Here is a 24,713-nt window from a genome sequence, read left to right as displayed (position 1 = left end):
CTTTTTGGGGGGAGACATAATTCGGCCCCTAACATATATGTACACGGGTTATACAGCCTACAGCCTATCTTCCATAAATCAGATACACACCTAAGCATTACGGCAGAATCACTCCTGAATGCTCCTCACCGCGGTACTATTACATGGATGTGCCTACTATGTCTTTACGTATCCATCAATCGCTCTTAGTTACGCTTTCAATAAAGTAGTCTTGGTGTTACCAACCACCCTCCAAAAAAGAAACAAGGTTAAACAAAATCCGTGTTTAAAAGTCATATTTAGGAATAATTATTTCACTTATATAAAAACATCCTTTAGTCACAGCTTAAACAAGCTCCACTAATTGGGAACAATTAGTTTGACACAGTAGGCAGAATGTAAAAGCATTAAAAATGTTGCCAATGGCTTCTTAGCCTTTTTTTTTTTATATTTTTTTGAGACAGGGTCTCACTCCAGCGGAGCAGGCTGCAATGCAGTGGCGCAGTCCCGGTACACTGTACCCTGGACTCCCGGGCTTAAGCAATCCTCCCACCTCTCCTCCAAGTAGCTGGGACTACGGGCCTGCGCCACCACGCCTGGCTAATTTTTGTATGTTTTTGTAGAGACGTGGTTTCACCATGTTGATCAGGCTGGTCTCAAACTCCCGACCTCGGGTGATCCGCCCACCCTGGCCTCTCAAAGTGCTGGGATTACAGGCGTGAGCCACGGCGCCCGGCGGTTCTTAGCTCCTATAGGGTCTCGAGGAGCTGCTGTAAAGGCTAAGGTGGCCGCCATCTTCAGAAGAGGGAGCCTTGGGGAACCAACGTGTGGAAGACAGTAAGTAATAGGGGAGCAGAGGCTTTAAAGGGTATTAATGTGGAAACGACTTTTCCAGCCAAATGCCAATCTATTTCTCTCTCTTTTTTTGAGGCAGAATCGCGCTCTGTCACCCAGGCTGGAGTGCAGTGGCGCCATCTCAGCTCACTCCAACTTCCACTTCCCGGGCTCAAGCGATTCTCCTGCCTCAGCCTCCCGAATAGCTGGGATTACAGGTGCACACCACCATGTCCGGCTAATTTTTTTTTTTTGTATTTTTAGTAGAAATGGGGTTTCACCGTGCTGGCCAGGTTGTTCTTTTCAAAAAATGCTGAAGAGATACTTTAATACAGTTTTAGACAGGAGGAAGACTCATCTTGGGACGAGAGGACCTTACCACGATAAAAATGTAAAATAGGGCAAGAAAATGTGCAAAAAAATTGTATATCTTACCTCATATAATCCTTGAAACATTATTACGAGGTAGAAAGTTGTATCTGTTGGGCCGGGCGCGGTGGCTCATGCCTGTAATCCCAGATACTTGGGAGGCTGAAGCAGGAGAATCGCTTGAACCCGGGAACCGGAGGTTGCGGTGAGCCAAGATGGCGCCATTGCACTCCAGCCTGGGCAACAAGAGCGAAACTCCTCAAAAAAAAAAAAAAACAAAAAACAAACCAAAAAAAAGGTGTATCTGTTTTTTGGGGTAAGAAAACTAACCCATCCGGCTGGGCGCGGTGGCTCGAGCCATCTCCACAACCCCATCTCTACAAAAAATACAAAAATTAGCCGGGCATGGTGGCGGGGCATGATGGCGGGTGCCTGTAATCCCAGCTACTCGGGAGGCTGAGGCAGGAGAATCGCTTGAACCCAGGAGGCAGAGGTTGCGGTGAGCCGAGATGGCGCCACTGCACTCCAGCCTGGGCGAAAAGAGCGAAACTCTGCCTCGGGGGAAAAAAAAAAAAAAAAGGTTTTTTGGGGGTAAGAAAACTAATGCATCCGGCCGGGCGCGGTGGCTTGAGCCATCTCTACAACCCCATCTATACAAAAAATACAAAAATTAGCCCGGCATGATGGTGGGGAATGATGGCGGGTGCCTGTAATCCCAGCTACTCGGGAGGCTGAGGCAGGAGAATCGCTTGAACCCAGGAGGCGGAGGTTGCGGTGAGCCGAGATGGCGCCATTGCATACCAGCCTGGGCGACAAGAGCGAAACTCCACTTCAAGAAAAAAAAAAAAAAAGAAAGTTGTATCTAACCAATCCGGTCTGGCGCGGTGGCTCACGCCATCTCTACAACGCCATCTCTACAACCCCACCTATACAAAAAATACAAAAATTAGCCGGGCATGATGGCGGGTGCCTGTAGTCCCAGCTACTCGGGAGGCTGAGGCAGGAGAATCGCCTGAACCCAGGAGGCGGAGGGTGCGGTGAGCCGAGATGGCGCCATTGCACTCCAGCCTGGGCGACAAGAGCGAAACTCCTCCTCAAAAAAAAAAAAAAAAAAAAAAGAAAGTTGTATCTAACCAATCCGGTTGGGCGCGGTGGCTCACGCCATCTCTACAACCCCATCTCTACAAAAAATACAAAAAATTAGCCGGGCATGATAGCAGGTGCCTGTAATCTCAGCTATGCGGGAGGCTGAGGCAGGAGAATCACATGAACCCAGGAGGCAGAGGTTGCAGCAAGCCAAGATCGCTCCACTGCACTCCACCCTGGGGCGACAGCGTGAGACTGTCTAAAAAACAAACAAACAAACAAACAAACCAAAAGATACTGATCAGATAAACATATAAGCAAAACTAAGATGTCCACCATGGTAAGTGCTATCAAGAAGAGAGACCTGTGCTCGCTTCACCAGCACATATACTAAAAATTGAAACGATACAGAGATTAGCATGGCCCCTGAGCAAGAAGAGACACCCTTTCCCTTCTGAGTCTGCTTAAAAAAAAAGAGAGAGAAACCCATGTGTTCTACAGTGTGTTATGCAGGGTGTGGCCTTGGTAAGAAGGTCAGGAAAGGCTCCTCAGAGGATGTGAAGCTTGACTTGAGATCAGGAAGATTGGGTGAGTGGAAAAAAAGCCAACACTGCTGAAGCAGGGAGAGCCAGGGTGGCGAGGCAGAGGCCAGGCTATGCTGGCTTTGTAGAATACGGTAGGAGCTTTGTCCTGATACTGAGAAGATGAAAAGTTATTGGTTTTTATTATTTTTTAAATTATTATTATTTTTTTGAAACGGAGTTTTGCTCTTGTCACCTAGGCTGAAGTGCAATGGTACAATCTCTGCTCACTGCAACCTCCGCCTCCTGGGTTCAAGTGATTCTCCTGCCTCAGCCTCCCGAGTAGCTGGGATTACAGGTGCCTGCCACCACACTCGGCTAATTTTTGTATTCTTAGTAGAGATGGGGTTTCATCATGCTGGCCAGGCTGGTCTCAAACTCCTGACCTCAAGTGATCTGCCCGCCTCAGCCTCCTAAAGTGCTGGGATTACAAGCGTGAGCCACCGCGCCCAGCCCAATTATTGGTTTTTAAGGAGGTGAGGTGGTTGCCGCACTATATTCCAACGATTGTGGGACACTTTTTTTCTTACAAAATCGCTGAAATCGAAGTTTAATTAGCATTGTTTTCTTTCTGGGCTATATATAAAATAATGATATGACCTATAGTCAGGGGCGTTTTAGAGGTGGTGAGGTTTGGTGATTACATTTGCAATTTTAGAAGTTCATGTTAGATGTAATATGGAGAATAGATTTATGATCAGCTACATGGATCAGGCTTAATTTTATAATAAAATGCAGAAATTTAGTATTGATGCTGAGTAACACTAATGTTTTCATCTCAAATCTTTTTTATTTTTGAGACAAGGTCTTGATCTGTCACCCAGGCTGGAGTGCAGTGGCACAATCACGACTCGCTGTAGCCTCATCCTTCTGGGCTGAAGTCGTCCTTTTGCCTCAGCCTTCCAGATAGCTGGGACCACAGTTGCATGCCACCACGCTTGGCTCATTTTAAATTTTTTTTTGTAGAGACAAGGTCTCTCTTTGTTGCCCAGGTTAGTCTCGAACTCCTGGGCTCAAGTGATTCTCCTGCCTCAGGCTCACAAAGTGTTGGGATTACAAGTGTGAGCCACCGTGCCCAGCTTGAAGTTTTCTTTTTATCACAGTAGTTCCTTTGTTCTCATTAACTTCATAAGTAAATATTATTAATCTGAACTTATAAAACAATCTATCTTTATAAAATGCCCCTTTTAATAGATAAGCATAAATTTACATAGATATTTGTAAACAGATACAGATAAAATCTGTAAAGAATTTTTCTTCATAAAAGTGTTCTGTTTTAAAAAGTTTGGAAACTGCTGGTCTAGGTAATAGGGATTCATTAGCCAAGGATTTTTGCACAGGAGAATAAAATGATTGAAGTTGTAGGATAGAACTGTGACTCTGGCCACAGCAATATAGAAGCATGATGGGGAGAGACAGGAAGGTGCTGTGAGAATGGAAGAGAGGGGATGAGTTAGTTTTTTGTTTGTTTGTTTGTTTTTTGAGACGGAGTTTCACTCTTGTTGCCCAGGCTGGAGTGCAATGGTGCGTGACCTCGGTTCACTGCAACCTCTGCCTCCCGGTTCAAGCATTCTGCCTCAGCCTCCCAAGTAGCTGGGATTACAAGCGTCCACCACCACACCCAGCTAATTTTTGTATTTTTAGTAGAGACGGGGTTTTGCCATGTTGGCCACGCTGATCTTGAACTCATAACCTCAAATAATCCACCCGCCTTGGCCTCCCAAAGTCCTGGGATTACAGGGGTGAGCCACCGCACCTGGCCTTCTGATCAGTATCTCTATCTCCCACTAGGCTGTAAGCTCCATGAGGGCAGACTACATACTTTTGCTCCTCAGTGCTTGGCACAGCACATGGTAGCACTTGATACACAGAAGATACTTGAACATTTGGTAACGGAATGAGCTGAAGTCCATTTTTTAAAAAATGATTCTTGCTGCTGATTTTAGGATACCCTTCAATTCCAAGGATCCAAAAGATCCACTAATGTAAGGACAGGAAGACTTCTGTTTCAGAGTTGAATCGTTAACAATATCTGCCAAATTCTTATCTCCTTATCAAATACCAAATTCAGAAAAAAAGCATTGAAAATTACTATGTGTTAATACTCTCCCTAGCTCGATATTATTATTATTATTTTTATTTATTTACTTATTTGAGACGGAGTTTTGCTCTTGTTGCCCAGGCTGGAGTGTGATGGTGCGATCTTGGCTCGCTGCAACCTCCACCTCCCAGGTTCAAGAGATTCTCCTGCCTCAACCTCCCAAGTAGCTGGGATTACAGGCATGCACCACCACATCTGGCTAATGTTTGATATTGTTATCACACGGTGGTGTGTTTTTGTGAACTGTCAATGTTCCAAGATTTTGTGCTGAGCTGGTGCATCTGAGACTCTTATGATTTTCAGGCTTACTCTCTGCTCCAATTATACCTGCTTTGTATAGGCACAAATCCAGGGGGTTGGTCAGAGCTGAGCTTTCCCAAACAATAAAACATTTGTAAGAAATTCTACCATATTCAGTGATGACAGATGCTTTCCTCTGTGGCGTGCATCAAAACATGTTCATCCAGATTGTGGAGGCACAAGTTAAGACGTTAAACTGTGGCATATAACACATTTGAGGGTGCAGGTATTTTCTTTTGGATTATTAGTTTAAAATATTTCTAAAGAGGAGGTTAGAATAAAATGGTTGCAGAAACTCAGCAGCACATTTATTTGTAAAACCAAAGGAAAGGCTGAGCGCAGTGGCTCATGTCTACAATCCCAGCACTTTGAGAGGCTGTGGTCAGGAGTTCAAGACCAGCCTGGCCAACGTGGCGAAACCCCATCTCTACGAAAAACATGAAAATTAGCCGGGCATGGTTGCAAGTGCCTGTAATCCCAGCTACTTGGGAGACTGAGGCACGAGAATCATTTGAACTCAGGAGGCAGAGGTTGCAGCGAGCCAAGATCACGCCATTGCACTCCAGTCTGGGCAACACAGCTCTGTCTCAAAAATAAAAGTAAAAATAAATAAGGAAAATGAAACAGTCATAGAAAAGGTAAAGTCTGACTGATTTGGTGCCAGTATTTAACATTTCTTCAGCATTTTCTGCTGTGTACCAGGCAGACTGCTGACTGGTTTTCCAAACAGCATTCCAGTCACAGCCCCTAAAGATGCTCAGGGAAAAGAGGGTGCTGTGGTCGTAGGAAAAGCTCCACTCTGCAGTAGTCTCTTGGAGATTCATGATGCAAAATAGGATTTTATTTTATTTATTTATTTATATTTTGAGACAGAGTCTCGCTCTGTCGCCCAGGCTGGAGTGCAGTGGTGCGATCTCGGCTCACTGCAAGCTCCGCCTCCCGGGTTCATGCCATTCTCCTGCCTCAGCCTCCCGAGTAGCTGGGACTACAGGCTCCTGCCACCATGCCCAGCTAATTTTTTGTATTTTTAGTAGAGACGGGGTTTCACCGTGTTAGCCAGGATGGTCTCGATCGCCTGACCTTGTGATCCACTCGCCTCAGCCTCCCAAAGTGCTGGGATTACAGGCGTGAGCCACCGCACCCGGCTGCACAATAGGATTTGAAAGGCTCTGAGAAATTTCAGAGAAAAGAAGGAAATATAATTTTGTTTTACTTAGAATTTTCCAATCTTTTCTAATCACAAAACTTTTTTTAATGTTTGTGTATTTTTTTTTAAAGGGGGGCTGGGCACGGTGACTCACGCCTGTAATCCCAGCACTTTGGGAGGCCAAAGCGGGCAGATCACCTGAGTTCAGGAGTTCGAGACCAGCCTGGCCAACATGGCAAAATCCCATCTTTACTAAAAATACAACAATTAGCTGGGTATGGTGGTGCGCGCCTGTAATCCCAGCTACTAGGGAGGCTGAGGCAGGAGAATTGTTTGAACCCGGGAAGTGTGGGTTGCAGTGAGCTGAGATGGTGCTATTGCACTCCAGCCTGGGCGACAGAGCAAGACTCCATCTCAAAAAAATAACAACATAGAGGGGGTCTCAGTATTTTCCATAGGCTGTACTCAACTCTTGAGCTCAAGCTTTCTGCCTCAGCCTTCTCAATAGCTGGGACTATAGGCTCGCACCCCTGCACCCGGCTCATGATGCTTCTCTTTGAGAAATACTGGCCTGGAGTGCTTGTTACATACATCTGGTTCTCACTATATTTGTGAAGTAGCCACAACTTAACTTTACAGAAGAACAGAATGGAACATCAGGCAGGTTACGCCAGGTCACACAGCTACTAACGCACAATCTTTGTGTGTGTGTGTATATGAGAGAGTTTTGCTCTTTTTTTGCTCTTTTGTTCAGGCTGGAGTGAAGTGGTATGATGTCAGCTCACTGCAACCTCTGCCCCACCACCTGGGTTCGAGTGATTCTCCTGCCTCAGTCTCCCGAGTAGCTAGAATTATAGGACTCTACCGCCACGCCTGGCTAATTTTTGTATTTTTAGTAGAGGTTTCACCATGTTGGCAAGGCTGCTCTCGAACTCCTGACCTCAGGTGATCCACCCGCCTCGTCCTCCCAAATGGATTACAGGTGTGAGCCACCGTGCCCAGCCTCTAATATACAATCTTCGATGCAAACTCAATTTTTTTCTTTTTTTGAGACGGAATCTCGCTCTGTTGCCCACCCAGGCTGGAGCGCAATGGCGCAATCTCAGCTCACTGCAACCTCCGACTCTTGGTTTCAAGCGATTCTTCTACCTCAGCCTCCTGAGTAGCTGGGATTACAGGCGTGCATCACCACGCCCGGCTAATTTTTAGTTTTTATTAGAGATGGGGTTTCACCATGTTTGTCAGGCTGGTCTCCAACTCCAGACGTCGTGATCCACCTGGCTCGGCCTCCCAAAGTGCTGGGATTACAGGCGTAAGCCACTGCGCCCGGCTATGCAAACTCAATTTTTCTGTAAGAAAAGAAAAGAAAAGAAAAAAACAAAACTCCAGTGCTTTTTCCAGTATAAAACACCACTTTCTTTTCTTTTCTTTCTTTTTTTTTTGAGACGGAGCCTTGCTGTGTTGCCCAGGCTGGAGTGCAGTAGTGCGATCTCGGCTCACTGCAACCTCCATCTCTCAGGTTCAAGCGATTCTCCTGCTTCAGCCTCCTGAGTAGCTGGGATTACAAGTGCGCCACCATATCCAGCTAATTTTTTTTTTGAGACAAAGTTTCACTCTTCTTGCCTAGGCTGGAGTGCAATGGCGTGACCTTGGCTCACTGCAACCTCCAACTCCCGGGTTCAAGTGATTCTCCTGCCTCAGCCCTCTGAGTAGCTGGGATTACAGGCACCCACCACTACACCAGGCTAATTTTGTACTTTTAGTAGAGACTGGGTTTCTCCATGTTGGTCAGGCTGGTCTCGAACTCCTGACCTTAGGTGATCCATCCGCGTCAGCCTCCTAAAGTGCTGGGATAACAGGCGTAAGCCACCGTGCCGGGCCCTGGCTAATTTTTGTATTTTTAGTGGAGACGGGGTTTCACCATGTTGGTCAGGCTGGTCTCGAACTCCTGACTTTGTGATCCGCCCACCTCGTCCTCCTGAAGTGCTGGGATTACAGGTGTGACTACTGCGCCCAGCCTAAAACACTACTTTCTTAGCTGGGCATGGTGGAACGGGCCTGTAGTCTCTGCTATTTTCAGGGGGCTAAAGTGGGTGGATTGCTTGAGCATGGGAGTTGGAGGCTGCAGTGAGCTATGATTGCACCACTGCACTCCAGCTTAGGTGACAGATCAAGACCCTGTCTAAAAAAAAAAAAAAATATATACACATATACAAGCAAAAAACCAAAAGAAAACAAAAGACTACTTTCATGTGAAACAGCATTATATTTTATTTTTTTGAGACTGAAGTCTCACTCTGTCGCCCAGGCCAGAGTGCAATGGCACGATCTTGGCTCACTGCAACTTCCACCTCCCAGGTTCAAGCGATTCTGCTGCCTCAGCCTCCAGAGTAGCTGGGATTACAGGCATGCACTACCACACCCAGCTCATTTTTGTATTTTTAGTAGAGACGGGGTTTCACCATGCTGGCCAGGCTGGTCTCGAACCCCTGATCTCTTGATCCGCCTGCCTTGGCCTCCTAAAATGCTGGGATTACAGGTGTGAGCCAACATGCCGGTCGTGAAACATCATTTTAGAGTTGGGATAAAGCTTAGTGATCTCTTAGACTAGTAACCTTCTTATGCTGATGAGGCAAATAGGGCTCAGACAAATTAAGTGCCTTGCCCCAGGTCAAGAGCTTGCAGACTGCAGGAGGAATGAAAGGATCCGTGACTCAGTGACTTCCAATTAAGTGCTCTACTGCCCCATATAATTATGAAGCAAATCTGTGTCACTGTAGGGTGAGACCAAATTAACTGCCCAGATTGAGCAGGCACTCACAGGTACCAAGTGAACAATTTACCTGGGAAAAGGTGATACTGGAACTATGTCCAGCTGTCATGTGATTTTGAAATGAGGATTTAGGAGCCACTTGACTAGACTAACTAAACAGTGAATACTGTTATTTTTAAGAGTTTAATCACCTTACTTGGATCATGCCATCCCTCTCCTCAGAAAAGTGCCATATGCCACTTAAAAAAATTAAAAGAAATTAAAAATTTCTGACTAAAAGGGATTTCACAACTTAAATTGGGCAGATCCTGGAGTGTCACAAGACACAATGTTTGGGAATCATTTTTCTGAAGTGTGTCAAACATGAGGAACAGAAGAATAATGCAGTTTATTATTATAAACACCTGGCCTAACCTGTAGGGCAGGGAAGGGAATGTTTGCGCACTTGCTGCCATCAGGAGGAGCAGTGAGGGGGTAAATGACAGCAGGAGGGAAAACCACAGCACACCTCGAGGAGGGCTCCAGCACAGCTGAGCTGGGCTGAGGTTCTCAGGTGCAGTGGCGAAGGGGTAAAGCATCTCTCTTTTGTTTTTGTTTTGAGACGGCATCTCACTGTCGCCCAGGCTTGAGTGCAGTGGCGCAATCGTGGTTCACTGCAACTGTTGCCTCCCAAGTTCAAGCAATTCTCCTGCCTCAGCCTCCTGAGTAGCTGGGATTACAGGCGCCCACCACCACACCCAGATAATTTTTGTATTTTTAGTAAAGACGGGGTTTCACCACGTTGGCTAGGCTGGTCTCGACCTCCCGACCTCAGGTGATCTGCCCACCTTGACCTCTCAAAGTGCTGGGATTACAGGCGTGAGTCACCGTGCCCAGCCTAAAGCATCTCTCTTAAGGGAAGAGGGAAGAATAAGGGACTGTGAAAGAAAAACAAAAAGACAGCTGAAAAGAGGAGTGTAAATCAACACAAACAACAGAGATGAGGAAAGTAATTATTTTTCTGTAAGATACAGGGTCTCATTCTGTTCAGTGGAGTGCACTGGCACGATCATGGCTCACTGCAGCCTCAAACACCTAGGTTCAAGTGATCCTCCCGCCTCAGCCTCCTGCGTAGCTGGGACTACAGGCTCATGTCACCATGCACAGCTAATTATTTTTAAAAATAGAGAAGGGGTCTTGCTATGTTGGCCAGGTTGGTCTTGAATTCCTGGCCTCGAGTGATCTTTCTGCCTAGGTCTCCCAACGTGCTAGGATTACCTGTGTGAGCCACCACGCCTGGATAATTTTTAGATTTTTTTGTAGAGATGAGATCTCGCTATGATGACCAGGCTGTGGAAATACATAAGCACAAGTATGATACTGACTTTTGGAATTTAAAAGGAGCAGCAGTAGTTCTTTCTGTGTGGAAACATTTTGGCTGTGGACGGTGGTCAGTGGGCAGAATGGGCATGATAGCTTAGAAGTCTGCAAAATATTCTTTCTTTTTTTGAGACAAAGTCTTACTCTGTTGCACAAGCTGGAGGGCAGTGGCGTGATCTCTGCTCACTGCAACCTCCACCTCCTGGGTTCAAGCAATTCTCCTGCCTCAGCCTCCCGAGTAGCTGGGACTACAGGCGTGCGCCACCATTCCCAGCTAATTTTTTTGTATTTTTAGTAGAATGTTGGCCAGGCTGGTCTTGAACTCCTGACCTCGTGATCCATCTGCTTCATCCTCTCAAAGTGCTGGGATTACAGGCATGAGCCACCGCGCCTGGCTGTGTCTTTCTTTTTCTTTTTTTTTTGAAACAGAGTCTTGCTCTGTTGCCCAGGCTGGAGTGCAGTGTCCTGATCTCAGCTCACTGCAAGCTTCGCCTCCCAGGTTCAAGCCATTCTCCTGCCTCAGCCTCCCCAGTAGCTGGGACTATAGGCGCCCGCTCCCACGCCTGGCTAATTTTTCTATTTTTTTTTAGTAGAGACGGGGTTTCACCATGTTGGCCGGGATGGTCTTGATCTCCTGACCTTGTGATCTGCCTGCCTCAGGCTCCCAAAGTTCTGGGATTACAGGTGTGAGCTACCATACCCAGCTCCTTTAGTTTCTCAAAGGTAATTATTACTTATATTAAAAAGAAAAAGAGGCCGGGTGCAGTGGCTCACGCCTGTAATCCCAGCACTTTGGGAGGTTGAGGCGGGCGGATTACTTGAGGTCAGGAGTTTGAGACCAGTCTGGCAAACATGGTGAAACCCCATCTCTAATAAAAATACAAAAATTAGCCGGGCGGGGTGGTACATGCCTTTAGTCCCAGCTACTTGGGAGGCAGTGAGCCAAGATCATGCCACTGCACTCCAGCCTGGGTGACAGAGCAAGACTCTGTCTCAGAAAAGAAAAAAAAAAAATGAAAAGAAAAAAAGGTCAGAAGTTTCTAGACACTAAATCCTCCTTAAGGATGGGTACAGAAATTCATGCTTGTAATCCCAGCACTTTGGGACACAGAGGCGCAAGGATTGCTTGAGCCCAGGAGTTTGAGGCTGCAGTGAGCTGACTGCACCACTACACACCAGCCTGGGGGACAGAATGAGATTCTGCCTCTAAAACAAACAAAAACACCAAAAATCCTCCTTAAAATTTTGCAAGGAAAATTGCAAAATTAATCATTAATCAATTTGCACTCTAAAACTGTAGAATTAGAATTATTTTCCTTCCACAAAAACAGCAGGAGTTTGGGACACAGCTATCAAAGCTATTCAATATTCAATATTCAATATTCAGCCTCAATATTCAATGAGGGAGGTGGGTGAAAGGTGGTGCTGGCCCAATAGGGGGAATACAGGCAGGACACCACCTCAAAGTAACAGTTATCCATTTACACTTTCATTTTAAATCTTTATTGCTTTTCTCTGATTATAAAAATAAATGCTCATGGTAGAAAATTCAGATCTTCCAGAAATATGAATGCGGAGAGTAAAAATCTGTAACTCTTAAGAGTGCATCATTCCAGCTTTTTCTTTTAAGAATTATTTAAAACCTCACTAACATTTATTTAAAACACTTTTTTAAAAAAGTAGGATATGCTATGTTTAATCCAGCAACTTGCTTTTCTTGCTAAAGATTTTATTTGGTCTACTGAGTAAACAGAGATCCACCGCATTGTTTTTGAAAAGTTGGATAGTATTCTATGGCATGAATGAATCACAGTTTAACCACATTTCCTCTCATGGAAAAATGTTTTTACAATTATTGACTTTGGTCAATAATCTTGCTCACATATCCTTGTGCACATGTGATAGCATTTTTGGATATCCAAATCCTAGAAATGGATTTGCTGGGTCAAAGGGTGTGTGCATTAACATTTTTATTAGACTGCATTTACATTTTAAATCTTCAAAATTGGTCTGCAGTATGAAATGGCACTAGCTCAATTTTTTGTTGTCTCTCGCCCAGCCATCACCAAGTCTAGTTTAATTCTTTTGTCAGAAGTCATTGAGATGACAGCTTCCTGTCACAGGCTGGCATGCAACCTCAGGTGTTTTCAGTCTTTAGTGCCACAACTCTAATGCACTTCAAAAATAATTGCCATTTTTTTTAGAGGGGTGAGCTTTTTCATTTTTTTTTTTTTTTCAAATGACACTAGCTTCATATATCTTTTTGGAGCTTTGGATAGGATTTAGAAAAAGAGATAAAACAAGACGAATCTATTGCCCAATTCTTCCTTCTTTCATCTGCTGGAGTTAACTATAACATATTGGTGCTCTTCGGACAACCACCTGGGTTATTGGCTGCAAGAGGCCGTATCTGCCAGTTCCCATCTACTTAGCATACCATTATTCTCTTTCTAACACTTTTCCAGTATTTGTCACATTAAACCTAAGTTAACTGTTCTGGCCACCTAAGCAACACTTCCATTTTGAGAGGACAAAGAAGACAACATTTCAAGAGTACAATACTGGTAACAGTACCCTCCTGGACCACTTAGAATAAAGTGATTTTTTGCTTCTTCTAAACTCATAGATTTTAAAACACCTGCACTCATTAACTTGCCAATTGGTCATGAACTTCCTTTGGAGTTAAAAAAAAATACAACATATAAAAGATTAGTCATTAAAGTGTTTTTACAAATCAAATACTAGCTACATTCTCCCCACTATAAATAGGAATATATATGTGTCATGAAAGTACAAACTAAATAATATTCAAGATTCTTTCTAGCCCTGGCCAGGTTTGGTGTCTCACCCCTGTAATCCCAGAACTTTGGGAGGCCAAGGCGGGCAGATCACTTGAGGCCAGGAGTTCAAGATCAGCCTGGCCAACATGGTGAAACCCCATCCCTACTAAAAATACAAAAATTAGCTGGGCATGGTGGCGGGTGCCTGTAATCCCAGGTACTCAGGAGGCTGAGGCAGGAGAATCACTTCAACCCAGAAGGTGGAGGTTGCAGTGAGCCGAGATCACCCCACTGCACTCCAGCCTGGATGACAGAGTGAGGCTCTTGTTGCAAAAACAAAAAAAAAACAAAGATCCTTTCCACCCCTAACACTTTATTAATCTACTGGTTTTCAAAGAATTAGAATCCAATATAAGAAAATATATGTAAACTACTAGAGCTAGAGTAAGAATAACAGTATTTTTTTTTTTGTTTTTGAGATGGGGTCTCACTCTGTTGCCCAGTGGTGAGATCTCGGCTCACTGCAACCTTTGTCTCCTGGGTTCAAGTGATTCTCCTGCCTCAGCCTACCCAGTGGCTGGGATTACAGGCTCATGCTACCATGCCCAGCTAATTTTTTTATTTTTAGTAGAGACAGGGTTTTACCATGTTGGCCAGGCTGGTGTTGAATTCCTGACCTCAAGTGATCCACCCGTCAGGCTCCCAAAATGCTGGAATTACAGGTGTGAGCCACCACACCTGGCCAAGTAAATCTTATTTATTTATTTATTTATTTTAAAGACTGAGTCTTGCTTTGTTGCCCAGGCTGGAGAGCAGTGGTGTGATCTCAGCTCACTGCAACCTTTGCTTCCAGGGTTCAAGCGATTCTCCTGCCTCAGCCTCCCGAGTAGCTAGGACTACAGGCGTGCATCACCATGCCCAGCTAATTTTTTGTATTTTTAGTAGAGATGGGGTTTTGCCATGTTGGCCAGGCTGGTCTCGAGCTCATGGCCTCAAGTGATCTGCCTGTGTCGGCCTCCCAAAGTGCTGAGATTACAGGCATGAGCTGTGCTCAGCCCCCCCTTTTTTTTTTTTTTTTTTTTAAGAGAAGGGGTCTTGCTATGTTGCCCAGGCTGGTCTGAAACTCCTTAGTTCAAGCAATCCTCCCACCTGAGCCTCCCAAAATTCTGGGATTACAGGTTTGAGCCACTGTGCCCAACCCTTGAGTGAATCTTTGATTTAGAAAGCAGCGCACTATTTTTTCTAAAGCTGGAGATCATCATTATAAAGATCAGCTTCGAGAAACTAAACTGACCCCAAGCTGTAATCCAAAAGTTATTTATTTGAATAAAACCCCTCTCCCAAGACCCAAAACAACATGGTATCAAGCAGTAAAAGAGAAGTGCCTGTATAAGCATACAGTATATTTCAAATGTTACTATATAAACAAAGAAAATGTTTATGTATAACATTTATATTCTGGACTATGTCAGTGGTGGTATGACACTAATGAGAGAAATATCTGCCCTCAAATCCATGTCAAATGTGCAGTTATTTGGATTTAAGGCCAACGAAAAAGATGCAGTGAAAAAGAGACTAAAAAACAGAATCAGCATGAAAGAAGGATTCATCTAAATCTGGGGCATAATTTGGATAATATACAACATTAAAAAAATAAAGACAGGAGAAAGGGGAGGAAATGTACAAGAAATAATTTTAGAAAGTCATTCCAGAAAAAAAATCTATCTTATAAAACATATTTTAATGCTAGTCTTTTAGTACTTATTTATGTCAGGCCACCTCTTACTGGATGTTTGGTTTCCTGTGCTGAGACTCAGAAAAATTGTCTTGTGGTTAGAAAATAGCATATTCTCAAGGCAGTTGACTGAAAAGTATATTTTTTTGGCATGCCATTTTTTACAACAAATTTTACTTTAAAAAGAGGGTGAATTAATTAGCTTGGAGATTAACTCTCACTGGTAGAAGTGTAGTGGATTTATTCAGCATGCTTAAAAAAGAAAATGGATCAGAATTTAGGATTTTATATATATGTAACTGACAGAACCTGAGATAAAGGAGAGTTTTTCACTTGCAAAAAATAAAAAATAAATAAATAAATAATAAAAATAAAGAAAGAAAAAGAAAAATTAAGAACACTGAAGGGATGGTGGGAAAGATTTCTTAAAAAAGAGTAGTTAGGGCCGGGCGCGGTGGCTCACGCCTGTAATGCCAGGAGATAGAGACCATCCTGGCTAACACGGTGAAACCCCATCTCAACTAAAAATACAAAAAATTAGCCGGGCGTGGTGGCGGGCGCCTGTAATCCCAGCTACTGGGGAGGCTGAGGTAGGAGAATGGTGTGAACCCAGGAGGCGGAGCTTGCAGTGAGCTGAGATTGAGCCACTGCACTCCAGCCTGGGCGACAGTGCGAGACGCTGCCTCAAAGAAAAAAAAAAAAAGAGTAGTTAGAGGAAGGCATGCGCCTAAGTTAGACTTGAGAGCAAAGTCTGAAGAACACCAACAACAGAATTATTCTTTAGGAAGCCGAATGCCAGGGAGCACTCCTAAGGATAATTTACTAAAATAAAAAGGTAACAAGATACTCAGCCTGGTGAGGCTTACAAATGAGAGAAATGAAGCATACTTGTAAAATACCAGACCTTCAGGGGAAAGAAAATGCAAAAAAAGACAAATTTTTAAAGGCTGTAAAAATTAAAACATTCTAACTTACTTGAGGTAGATAAAAATAGAAAATCATGTAAGATTAGAACAGATTATATTTTTGACCACTCATGTTAGGAGGTGAAGAAATGTTAGGATCATAAATCTTAAAGCCAGCCAGGCTCGGTGGCTCAAGTCTATAATCCTAGCAATTTGGGAGGCCGAGGCAGCTGGATCACCTGAGGTCAGGAGTTGGAGACCACTCTGGCCAAAATGGCGAAACCCCGTCTCTATTAAAAATACAAAAATTAGCTGGGTGTGGTGGCGCACGCCTGTAATCCCAGTTACTCGGGGGGCTGAGGCAGGAGAATCGCTTGAACCCAGGAGATGCGGAGGTTGCAGTGAGCTGAGATCGCGCCACTGCACTCCAGCCTGGGCAACAGAGGGAGACTCCCTCTCGATAAATAAACAAACAAATCTTAAAACAAATGGAAAAATCAATAATCCGTTTAAAAAATGTACAAGGCCGGGCGCGGTGGCTCACGCCTGTAATCCCAGCACTTTGGGAGGCCGAGGCAGGCGGATCACGAGATCAAGAGATCGAGACCATCCTGGCCAACATGGTGAAACGAGGTCGCAGTGAGCCGAGATCGCGCCACTGCACTCCAGCCTGGCGACAGAGCGAGACTCCGTCTCAAAAAAAAAAAAAAAAAAAAAAAACAACACCAAAAAAAAAGTACAGAAAAGGATACCTTTCAGTATTTCATACATCACTAAATGTGCAAAACCCCCTAAGAACAGTTTAATTAAAAATTTGAGTCTGACCCTGGGCCCACTGCCTATGAATTAGCCCTGCTCCGCAAGGAGCAGTACTGTTTTAAAAAAAATTTTTTTTGGACAGGCTGATTTTACATTTGTAATATTTCTAAATCTTAAATTAAAAAATATATATTAACATTTATATTTTAAAAGATGCTTTCAAAAATATAAAAAAATTAACTCATTACCTATTTTGTTTAAGGGCTCCTGGAAAAACTGAGGGAATGATCAATATGCACACCAAAACAAATATATACAAACTTCTAAATTTCATTTTATAGGAATAGTATCTATTGAAAGGGCAGGGTGCATGAATAACTCAGTGACAGGCGTAAACTCAGCCAGGATTAGAAACGTCTTCCCAATGGAGGCCCCGCTCAAGTTGAGAATTTCATGGACACAGTAAATCATCCAAAAGCCCACCTTCAATAACCAAAGTAGGCATAAAAATAGGCCGATGGTTACTTTGGAGATAATATAATCCTCGGTCTTATTGTTGTGGAGCAGATGTCATTATGGGTGGGGCTGAAGCGCAGAGCAGCTGAAACATTTTTATACCACCACCCGCACACTTTCAATGGGATAGAAGGGACTCCAAAAGGTAAGAGCTCCCAATCGTCAGTTGCTACTAGAAATAACTAAGTTTTGATGTGGCCGTGGCACGCGTAAAGGCCACAAAGAGATTTATAAAATTCTCCATGATTAATTCCTATCCTGGAAAAGAGGCAATCTCCTTTTCCCCTCCCTAGCCGGCTCCTCCTTGGGACACTTGGCTGAGTCGTTCTTTCCCTCCTTCTCACGCTGAGGTGAGGCCGCACGCAAGCCGGAGACGCCCGTTTTCCTCTTCGCGCGGAGGAAACTCTACGGGTAAGAAGCCGGGGTGGCGGGAAAGGAGCACGCGGCACCGCGGGGAGGCAGAGAAGGCTTGCCAGGGACTAGCCGGGCTCGGGGAGAGCAGGGACACGCGGGCCGTCGGACCGAGGAGGCCGAGGTGACGAGGAAAATCTCCCGGCGCGGAGCCGGGACTGGGCGCTTCCGGCGGGCTACGGTTGCTCTTGGCCTAGCACAGCCTGCGTCCCGGGCCCCAACCGGGCCAGGTAGGGAGTTAGGAGAGAGGGTAAACCGCGGCTCGCACTTGCCTGAGACCGGGTGACCAGTAACTGGTAATAGTCTTTGCTAGGCGGCGGGCCTTGTCCTACAGTTTCAAAGAGAGTCTCCGGCAGCCACGACGCCATCTTGGGACGCCACCGCCGTCGCTAAGACAACCAGGAAGGGGCGGGGCTTGGTTGGGGTCAAGGGGCCAAAACCCTAGTTTAAATTGAACCACGCTTATGAGCTGGCAGAAGGATTTCTAACTTGGGGCGATCGTCCCCTCTTCCAAGGGTCTTAGGGAACCCTGATCCGTGAAATTTCCAGCTCCAGGTCCCGGGTGACCCGAGGGGGAATTAGTTCCTGCTACCACGGAGGGGAGGGGGTGACCCCGGCGGAGGGATACCAAGTAGATCTCCACAGTCCCCTTCCTGGTCCCTCGAAGGGATCGGGCGGAGATCGGAGGCTGCTGAGAGAGTCGAGCCGGGAGGCGTGGGAGGGAGGGGCGATGTGATGGGCCGCCAGTAGGCAGCGGTGCCGGTCCCGCGGACGAGCCCGTAACCGGAGCCCGAGGACAAAGTAGTTCCCCGAGGGTGTCAGAGCAGGCGGGGAGGGAGGCGGCACGGGCGGAGGCGCACGCCGGGCGCGGTGCTGCGGCTCAGCTGATAATTGAAGGAACCCGGAGCCGCCGCCGCCGCGCCGCTGGGGGGGGTGGGGGGAGCTAGTGGAAGTTACTGCCGCGCCACCGAGTCCGGACCGGAGACTTTGGGGCCTAACTAGGTAATTGGGGCGCAGCTCTGGGCGGCGGGGGCAAGCCTTGGGGGAGGGGGCCAGCTGAGGGGTTGGGGGGGCGGGGGGAGGAGCTGGAACAGAAAGTCCCAGGAAGCCCGGTTGTGTCATCGCCGCGATTCGGCCCCCGCTTGGCCTGCTCCCGGCGCCGGCGGCGGCGGGGCCGCGGAAGGACCGGGCCGGGGGTGGACGGGAGAGACGCTCGAGGGCGGCCGCGGCCGGAGGGACCGGGGCCTGGCGGGAGGTAGGGGTCGCTGGGTCCCTCCTCCGGCTTCCCGCAATGAGGAGGGCCCTTCACAGAACCGGGGTAAGGCTTGCGGGTGTTGGGGAGCTCGGCGGGGACCAAGGGGGGCCGGAAGTGGGCTTTGGAGCTTGGAGGGTGTCTGGGAAGAGAGAAAGTGGGGGGCCGGAAGTGCAGGTGGGGGGTGTGAAGACGGCAAGGGTTCCCCGGAAATGGGACGAGGGGCCCGGAAATCGGGAAAGGGGAGGCTCCGGGGCCGTGGACGGCCCGGAAATGGAAACTAGGAAGCAGCTCCAGTGACAACAGTTGTGGGAAGCGAGGGTCAGAGAAGGGAGAGGCCAGAGAGACTTTAGACCGCAGTAAGGGGTTTCCTGCCCAGGGGGACGGCGAGGGACGGTTGAGGGAGGGCGAGCCCGGAGACGGGGTCTGCGCGGGGCAGTTTTTTAAGCCGTGGGAAGTTGAGGCTGAGGGAGGATGATGACGAGGGGGGCATGCAGGGAGGCCTAAAGAAGCCGAGAAACTTGACTGAGAGGAATAGAGTATCCTTTTAAATAGATCAGAATGGAAATTGGTGGTAGGTGGGTTTAACTAGGACTTGGGGGAGGGAGGTGGGCCAATTGTCACCCCAATCGTATTAGCATTCAGAGCGAGTCAGGCGATTAATTTATTTATATGTGGATTACATAAAACCTATTATTTACAACGTTTGTCCATCAGTTCAGCCCCTCTCCTTCCTTCTCCATAGTGAGTGGGTTTCTAGTACAGGAACAAGTTAGAGGGGAGTTCGAATAACGAAGGTAGTAAAACCTCAAATCCTGTCTTCCTCGGCGTCTCTCCCTTCCTCAGAATAAGAAATCCTTCATTTCCTAGACGGAAAAATGCGGAAAAACATAAAAACACATGTAAATCGGGGGGAAATCACACTTTGAACTCCTGGTGGGGGACAGGAGGGAATTGGTTACCTTACGTGGTGAGGAGATAACGGAAGGGGCAGCTTCCAAACCCTTAAGACAAATGTTGTGTTTTTTTGATAATGCTGTTTTACTTTGGGGGAGGTTTAGCCTAAGCATCGAGTCTGGTGGTGGGCATAGTTTAATTGCTTCTTTAGTTAATTGGGGGAGGGAATGTGTTTGTGTGTAAAGGTTGGGCCGGTGCGGGGGGAGGCGGGTACGGTTAATAGCGCAGTGAATCCGTTCTAAGTGGACGTCTAACTGCTCTCCTGCTGTCTCCTTTCCTAGTCGCGGTCCTCGATCTTGCCTGGGCTGCCAGATCACCCGATCTCCGGGCTTTACTCCGTTTTGTAGGCCCTTTAGTGATGTGTTTAACTTTATGTTCCTCTCGAGAGTCTCATTAGGTATTTTTGGCATTTCATTTTTTAAAGACCTAGCAAGTTGAGTCTCAGAGTCTCCTCTTTAAAAACAAAACAAAAAATACGGGGTAGAAAGTTGAAAGAGCTATTGAGTGGGGTAAAACGACGCTCAGAACAAAGGTCCTAGTTGTGTTAGAAAAAAAGGCAAGAGGCCTGTATATGAGGCCTGTGTGTGTCGCATTTACACCCCGGGGGGGTTGAGGAATGGAATTAGCAGAGGTTTAGAGACAATAAATTGTAGAGGATTTTATTGAGGCTGATTTTCATATTTACCACATGCAAAGTGATCAATATTAAGTGTAAGTTTTAAAGTATACAGAATTTCTAATTCTTTCTTTTGACACTTCCTGCTGTGTGTTCAGCCCCAGAAATGTTGAACTGCTGTGACTATCTTTGTGAGATTGAGGGAGTTTTATTTTAAGCTTAAGAGTACATAATATGATTGGGGTTTGTGGGCTTTGTACATGTCTGCCTTTCTATGAATGTGCCAATATCCATAAGAATTGGAAAACTGTAATTAAGATTATCATTGTTTCCATTCAATCCCCAGTTTTTCTGGAGTGTGAGCAGTTTTTAAGTCTGTTCAGCTGACATTTATACTACTTAGTTTGAGTCTATGAACAGGCTTTATTTTTCTTTTTTTTTTTCATTTACTTTCAAAAAGTTTGAGAACAATTTTGGCAGTTAGGTTCCAGAAGGTGCTAAACTAAAGTAGTTACATTTAAAAAACGAATGGGATGCTAGGTAGATCACGGTAAAATCAGTACTTTCACCTGGCAAAGTAAATTTGTAGTAATGTATGATTCCATGTATGATTCCTTTCCCATTGTAACTTTTTTTTTTTTTAAAGCAGAATCTTGCTCTGTCGCCTAGGCTGGAGTGCAGTGGTGCAGTGTAGGCTTAATGCAACCTCTGCCTCCTGGTTCAAGCGATTCTCCTGCCTCAGCCTCCTGAGTAGCTGAGATTACAGGCACGCGCCACCACGCCCGGCTAATTTTTGCATTTTTAGTAGAGACAGAGTTTCACCATGTTGGCCAGGCTGGTCTCGAACTCCCGACCTCTCAGGTGATCCGCCTGCCTTGGTCACCCAAAGTGCTGGGATTGCAGGGGAGAGCCACCACGCCGGCCCCAGTGTAACTTGTAAGATTATTGTATTTATGTTATCTAGACAAGGTTTTAATATCCTGCTTTATTTTAAGGTTTTCATCTTAGCAAGGAAAACATCACTGGCTTGGAAATTCACACACTACCAGTTAGTAGCTTTGTGACCTTGAGCTAGTCACTTAACCTATCTGGTCTTCATTTATTTTATCTGTAAAATGGGAGTGGGTAATCTCTATTTTACCTCACTGGGTGGTTGTGAGACCCAACAGATGTAATGACTGAAAAAAAACAACATGCTAAATAAATTAATTTTAGAAAATTACATGAGCTGTTTTGAGGTCATTTTTAAAAGATACAGCTTCTCATTAGTCGTGGTGGTCCATGGGGCAGGGGAGAATTAATGTAAACTAGGTTGAAGGTACAGAGTTATAGAACTTCATAATTTGAAATTGCTGCTTAATTGGTAGTAGAATTTGGGTCTCATTTTTGTCTTTTTAAAGTTACCTTCTTTTTTTGGTATCAGCATGCCAGATACTTGTTTGCCATACATTCTACTGAAAAAACTTGTTAATATGTTTAAAGAAACTTCAAATTCATTTACGTTTTTTATTGACAAAGTACCTGTTCTGGTTTGTGACTCTAATGAAATTGACTTAATGTAAGAGATTACAATTAGGGAATAATGCTTCTGAATCTTGGTCACTGTTTTCTTTACAGAACCTAGGGAACTTTCCCCCCTTTTAAGTGGATGGGTAGGGATCTTTTTGAGCAAATGTGATACCAGTTGCTCCTTTATTTTTTTGTTTGCTATTTGATGGACTCAAGTCAAAACAGCAACCTACTTGGTTTTTTAATCTTCACTGAAATCATTCCTTGCAATTGCCTGTTTGACATGGACTTTTCCCTCATTTAAATCAAGCAAGCACCCACTATGTACAGAAAAACATAGAAGATAAAGGATGTGAAGAACAACTTACAACTCATGTCTTCAGATCACTTCCTCGAACAAGTTTCTACCTGTGATCTTTGTATTTCTGATTAACTGTACTTGCTTCGTTTCTGCATTACAGTATTGCATTTGTTGACATGTGTTGCTTTTGTTTCCCTGATTGGACTGTAGGCTTCCTGAGGGCAAGGATGATTTCATGTCAATGTGGTATGTGTGAAGGTATACTAATAAACCTGATTGGTCTGGGTGAGGTGGCACTGGAGGTGAGGACGTGGGAGGATCGCTTGAGGCTAGGAGTTGTAGCCCAGGCAACATAGTGAGACTGTCTCCACAAAAAAGAAAAAAAAAGTTAGCTGGGCATGGTGGCATGCATCAGTAGTTCTAGGCAACTTTGGAGGCTGAAGCGGAAGTATTGCTTGAACCCAGAGATTTGAAGTTAATAGTTATGATCATGCCACTGGACTCCAACCTGCTTGGAAGGGTTCTTTGACCCCAGCAGATTCTTCAGAATGCTTTCTCTTGGTTGGTTCAGTGATCAGGGCCTCTTCACATCTCCCCTGACTAACGTGCCATTAGAGTGCCTGGATGGATATCAACTGTCACTGCCATGTTTTAGTGTTAAGCCAGTGGATTATTCTGTGCCACTTTTTTCATAGGCCAAGCTTTAGTTAATAAGGCCAAGCCTGAGGAGAGTCCAGGCCAGATAGGGTGGAAGAGTAAAAATCTGGTGGATGTTACAGAATAAATATAATTTTTAGATTGTTGTATATAATCTTAGTGCTTGGTAATTTTTTTTTTTTTTTTTTTTTTTTTTTTTTTTTTTTTTTGAGACAGAGTCTCGCTCTGTTGCCCAGGGTGGAGTGCAATGGCGCGATCTTGGCTCACTGCAGGCTCCGCCTCCAGGGTTCATGCCATTCTCTTGCCTCAGCCTCCCGAGTAGCTGGGACTACAGGTGCCAGCCACCACGCCCAGCTAATTTTTTTGTATTTTTAGTAGAGATGGGGTTTCACCTTGTTAGCCAGGATGGTCTTGATTTCCTGACCTCGTGATCCACCCGCCTTGGACTCCCAAAGTGCTGGGATTACAGGCGTGAGCCACCGCGCCCGGCCAGTGCTTGGTAATTCTTAACGTGTAGTGTAATGTAAGCTTTACTTGTGTATTTTCTTTTGGTACTTGTGTATCATTTCAGCAGCTGTGTTACAGACTTGAAGACATAACCTCAAAGCAGTTGTTCTCTACCTCTCTGCTGGGTTTCTCTGTGCATAATGGATGCTTGCTGTTATTTGTAATAAATAGATAAGTATACCGATGCTAGACCTGTCCCTTGATTTTTCTTTTTTTTTTTTTAAGTAAAATTTAACTCTGCTAATGTCTTGGGTTTTTTAAAAATGTAGTTCTTTAATATCCTAACTTACTGATAGTTTTAGGTTATTGGCAAAAAGAGGTTTCCTAGACTGAAATAAGTCTGTTCAGTCATTTTTCTCTGAGGCCTTTTAGATTTTGGTTGTTTATTGTGATTTCAGTGATTTCATTAAACTGAATTGGATAGAAGAAAAAGGAACTTACCCATTATTCAGGCTTACCTGCTTTGTCTTGAGAGTGCAGAAGCTATTGGCAGTAGTCAGTTTCATGGTTATGCTTGTTCGTTTGTTGAGACAGAGTCTCACTTTTGTCACCCAGGCTGGAGTGCAGTGGCGCGATCTCGGCTCACTGCAACCTCCACCTTCCAGGTTCAAGTGATTCTCCTGCCTCAGCCTCCCAAATACTGGGATCACAGACGGGCACCTCCACACTTGGCTATCATGGTTATGCTTGATTTAAAAAGTCATTCAAATGGTCTAGAGTGAAAAATACCTGCTACTGTGTGTTTTCCTTAATAGCACTGTTCAAGTGATTATCTGATTTGAAGGCAAGACTTAGGTTCCAATCCTGGCTATGCATTTCCCATCTTTGTAACCTTGGGCAAATAATTTAACTTAGTACTTTGTGAGCTTCAAGTGCCTAATCTGAAAAATTTGATTATTACCACCTAATGTAGAGTCAGTTGTCATTTATATGCTAGACATTCTGTATTTAGATTAGGCTCCACAGATGAATTGGAACACAAGGCCCTTTCTCCACTTGTTTACAGTACTGTGGACCATTGCCTCATTTGTTAAAACTCTTTTAACTCGAACATACCTCTGTTATATGCATAGGTATCCTACTTGAAACATTTGACCCAGTGGCTCATGCCTGTAATTCCAGAACTTTGGGAGGCTGAGGCAGGAGGATCACTTGAGCCCAGGAGTTTGAGACTAGCCTGAGCAACTTAGTAGAGACCTTGTTGCTACTAAAAGTAAAAAATTAGCTGGGCATGGTGGCACATGCCTGTAGTCTTCAGCTACCTGGGAGGCTGAGGTGA

At 45.1% G+C, this 24,713-nt stretch overlaps 2 protein-coding genes and 1 pseudogene across 63 annotated transcripts in view, besides 6 other annotated features; 2 read left to right on the top strand and 1 right to left on the bottom strand.

Annotated features, from left to right (window-relative positions):
* FBXO36 (F-box protein 36) overlaps positions 1-18,014 on the bottom strand; it is a 90,617-nt gene extending 72,603 nt beyond the window's left edge. Inside the window, exon 1 of one of the 2 annotated variants that reach the window (NM_174899.5) lies at positions 17,908-18,014. In NM_174899.5, coding sequence (NP_777559.3) covers positions 17,908-18,003 — 96 coding nt within the window. In that variant the 5' untranslated portion in view covers positions 18,004-18,014. Of the gene's footprint in view, positions 1-1,248; positions 2,243-17,907 lie in introns of those variants that run through there. The other variant, XM_005246317.3, reaches the window with a different exon arrangement.
* On the top strand, positions 2,635-2,703 carry RNU6-964P (RNA, U6 small nuclear 964, pseudogene; annotated as a pseudogene).
* TRIP12 (thyroid hormone receptor interactor 12) overlaps positions 17,331-24,713 on the top strand; it is a 159,350-nt gene continuing 151,967 nt past the window's right edge. For 28 of the 61 annotated variants that reach the window (NM_001284216.2, XM_047446397.1, XM_047446395.1 and 25 more), the window contains exon 1: positions 18,508-18,637. The gene's annotated coding sequence lies outside the window, so the exon portion shown is untranslated. Of the gene's footprint in view, positions 17,370-18,507; positions 18,638-18,727; positions 19,247-24,713 lie in introns of those variants that run through there. The other 33 variants (XM_047446398.1, XM_047446396.1, XM_047446386.1 and 30 more) reach the window with 6 other exon arrangements.
* Positions 17,736-17,795: an enhancer, noted in NCBI's record as "active region_17206". NCBI's record gives its function as "activates an Ori minimal core promoter by ATAC-STARR-seq in GM12878 lymphoblastoid cells {active_cell/tissue: GM12878}" and the evidence as "EXISTENCE:reporter gene assay evidence [ECO:0000049][PMID:35858748]".
* Positions 18,452-18,952: an enhancer, noted in NCBI's record as "H3K27ac hESC enhancer chr2:230786281-230786781 (GRCh37/hg19 assembly coordinates)". NCBI's record gives its function as "activates a minimal SCP1, AML or CMV promoter by ChIP-STARR-seq in primed H9 embryonic stem cells {active_cell/tissue: H9 hESC(primed)}" and the evidence as "EXISTENCE:reporter gene assay evidence [ECO:0000049][PMID:30033119]".
* Positions 18,452-19,015: a biological region, named in NCBI's record as "H3K27ac hESC enhancer GRCh37_chr2:230786281-230786781".
* Positions 18,626-19,015: a silencer, noted in NCBI's record as "silent region_12404". NCBI's record gives its function as "represses an Ori minimal core promoter by ATAC-STARR-seq in GM12878 lymphoblastoid cells {active_cell/tissue: GM12878}" and the evidence as "EXISTENCE:reporter gene assay evidence [ECO:0000049][PMID:35858748]".
* Positions 18,953-19,453: an enhancer, noted in NCBI's record as "H3K27ac hESC enhancer chr2:230785780-230786280 (GRCh37/hg19 assembly coordinates)". NCBI's record gives its function as "activates a minimal SCP1, AML or CMV promoter by ChIP-STARR-seq in primed H9 embryonic stem cells {active_cell/tissue: H9 hESC(primed)}" and the evidence as "EXISTENCE:reporter gene assay evidence [ECO:0000049][PMID:30033119]".
* Positions 20,091-20,190: an enhancer, noted in NCBI's record as "active region_17205". NCBI's record gives its function as "activates an Ori minimal core promoter by ATAC-STARR-seq in GM12878 lymphoblastoid cells {active_cell/tissue: GM12878}" and the evidence as "EXISTENCE:reporter gene assay evidence [ECO:0000049][PMID:35858748]".

Source organism: Homo sapiens, chromosome 2 (assembly GCF_000001405.40).
Source record: "Homo sapiens chromosome 2, GRCh38.p14 Primary Assembly".
Taxonomy (NCBI): Eukaryota; Metazoa; Chordata; class Mammalia; order Primates; family Hominidae; genus Homo; species Homo sapiens.
This window is presented reverse-complemented; position numbering and strand designations above follow the sequence as displayed.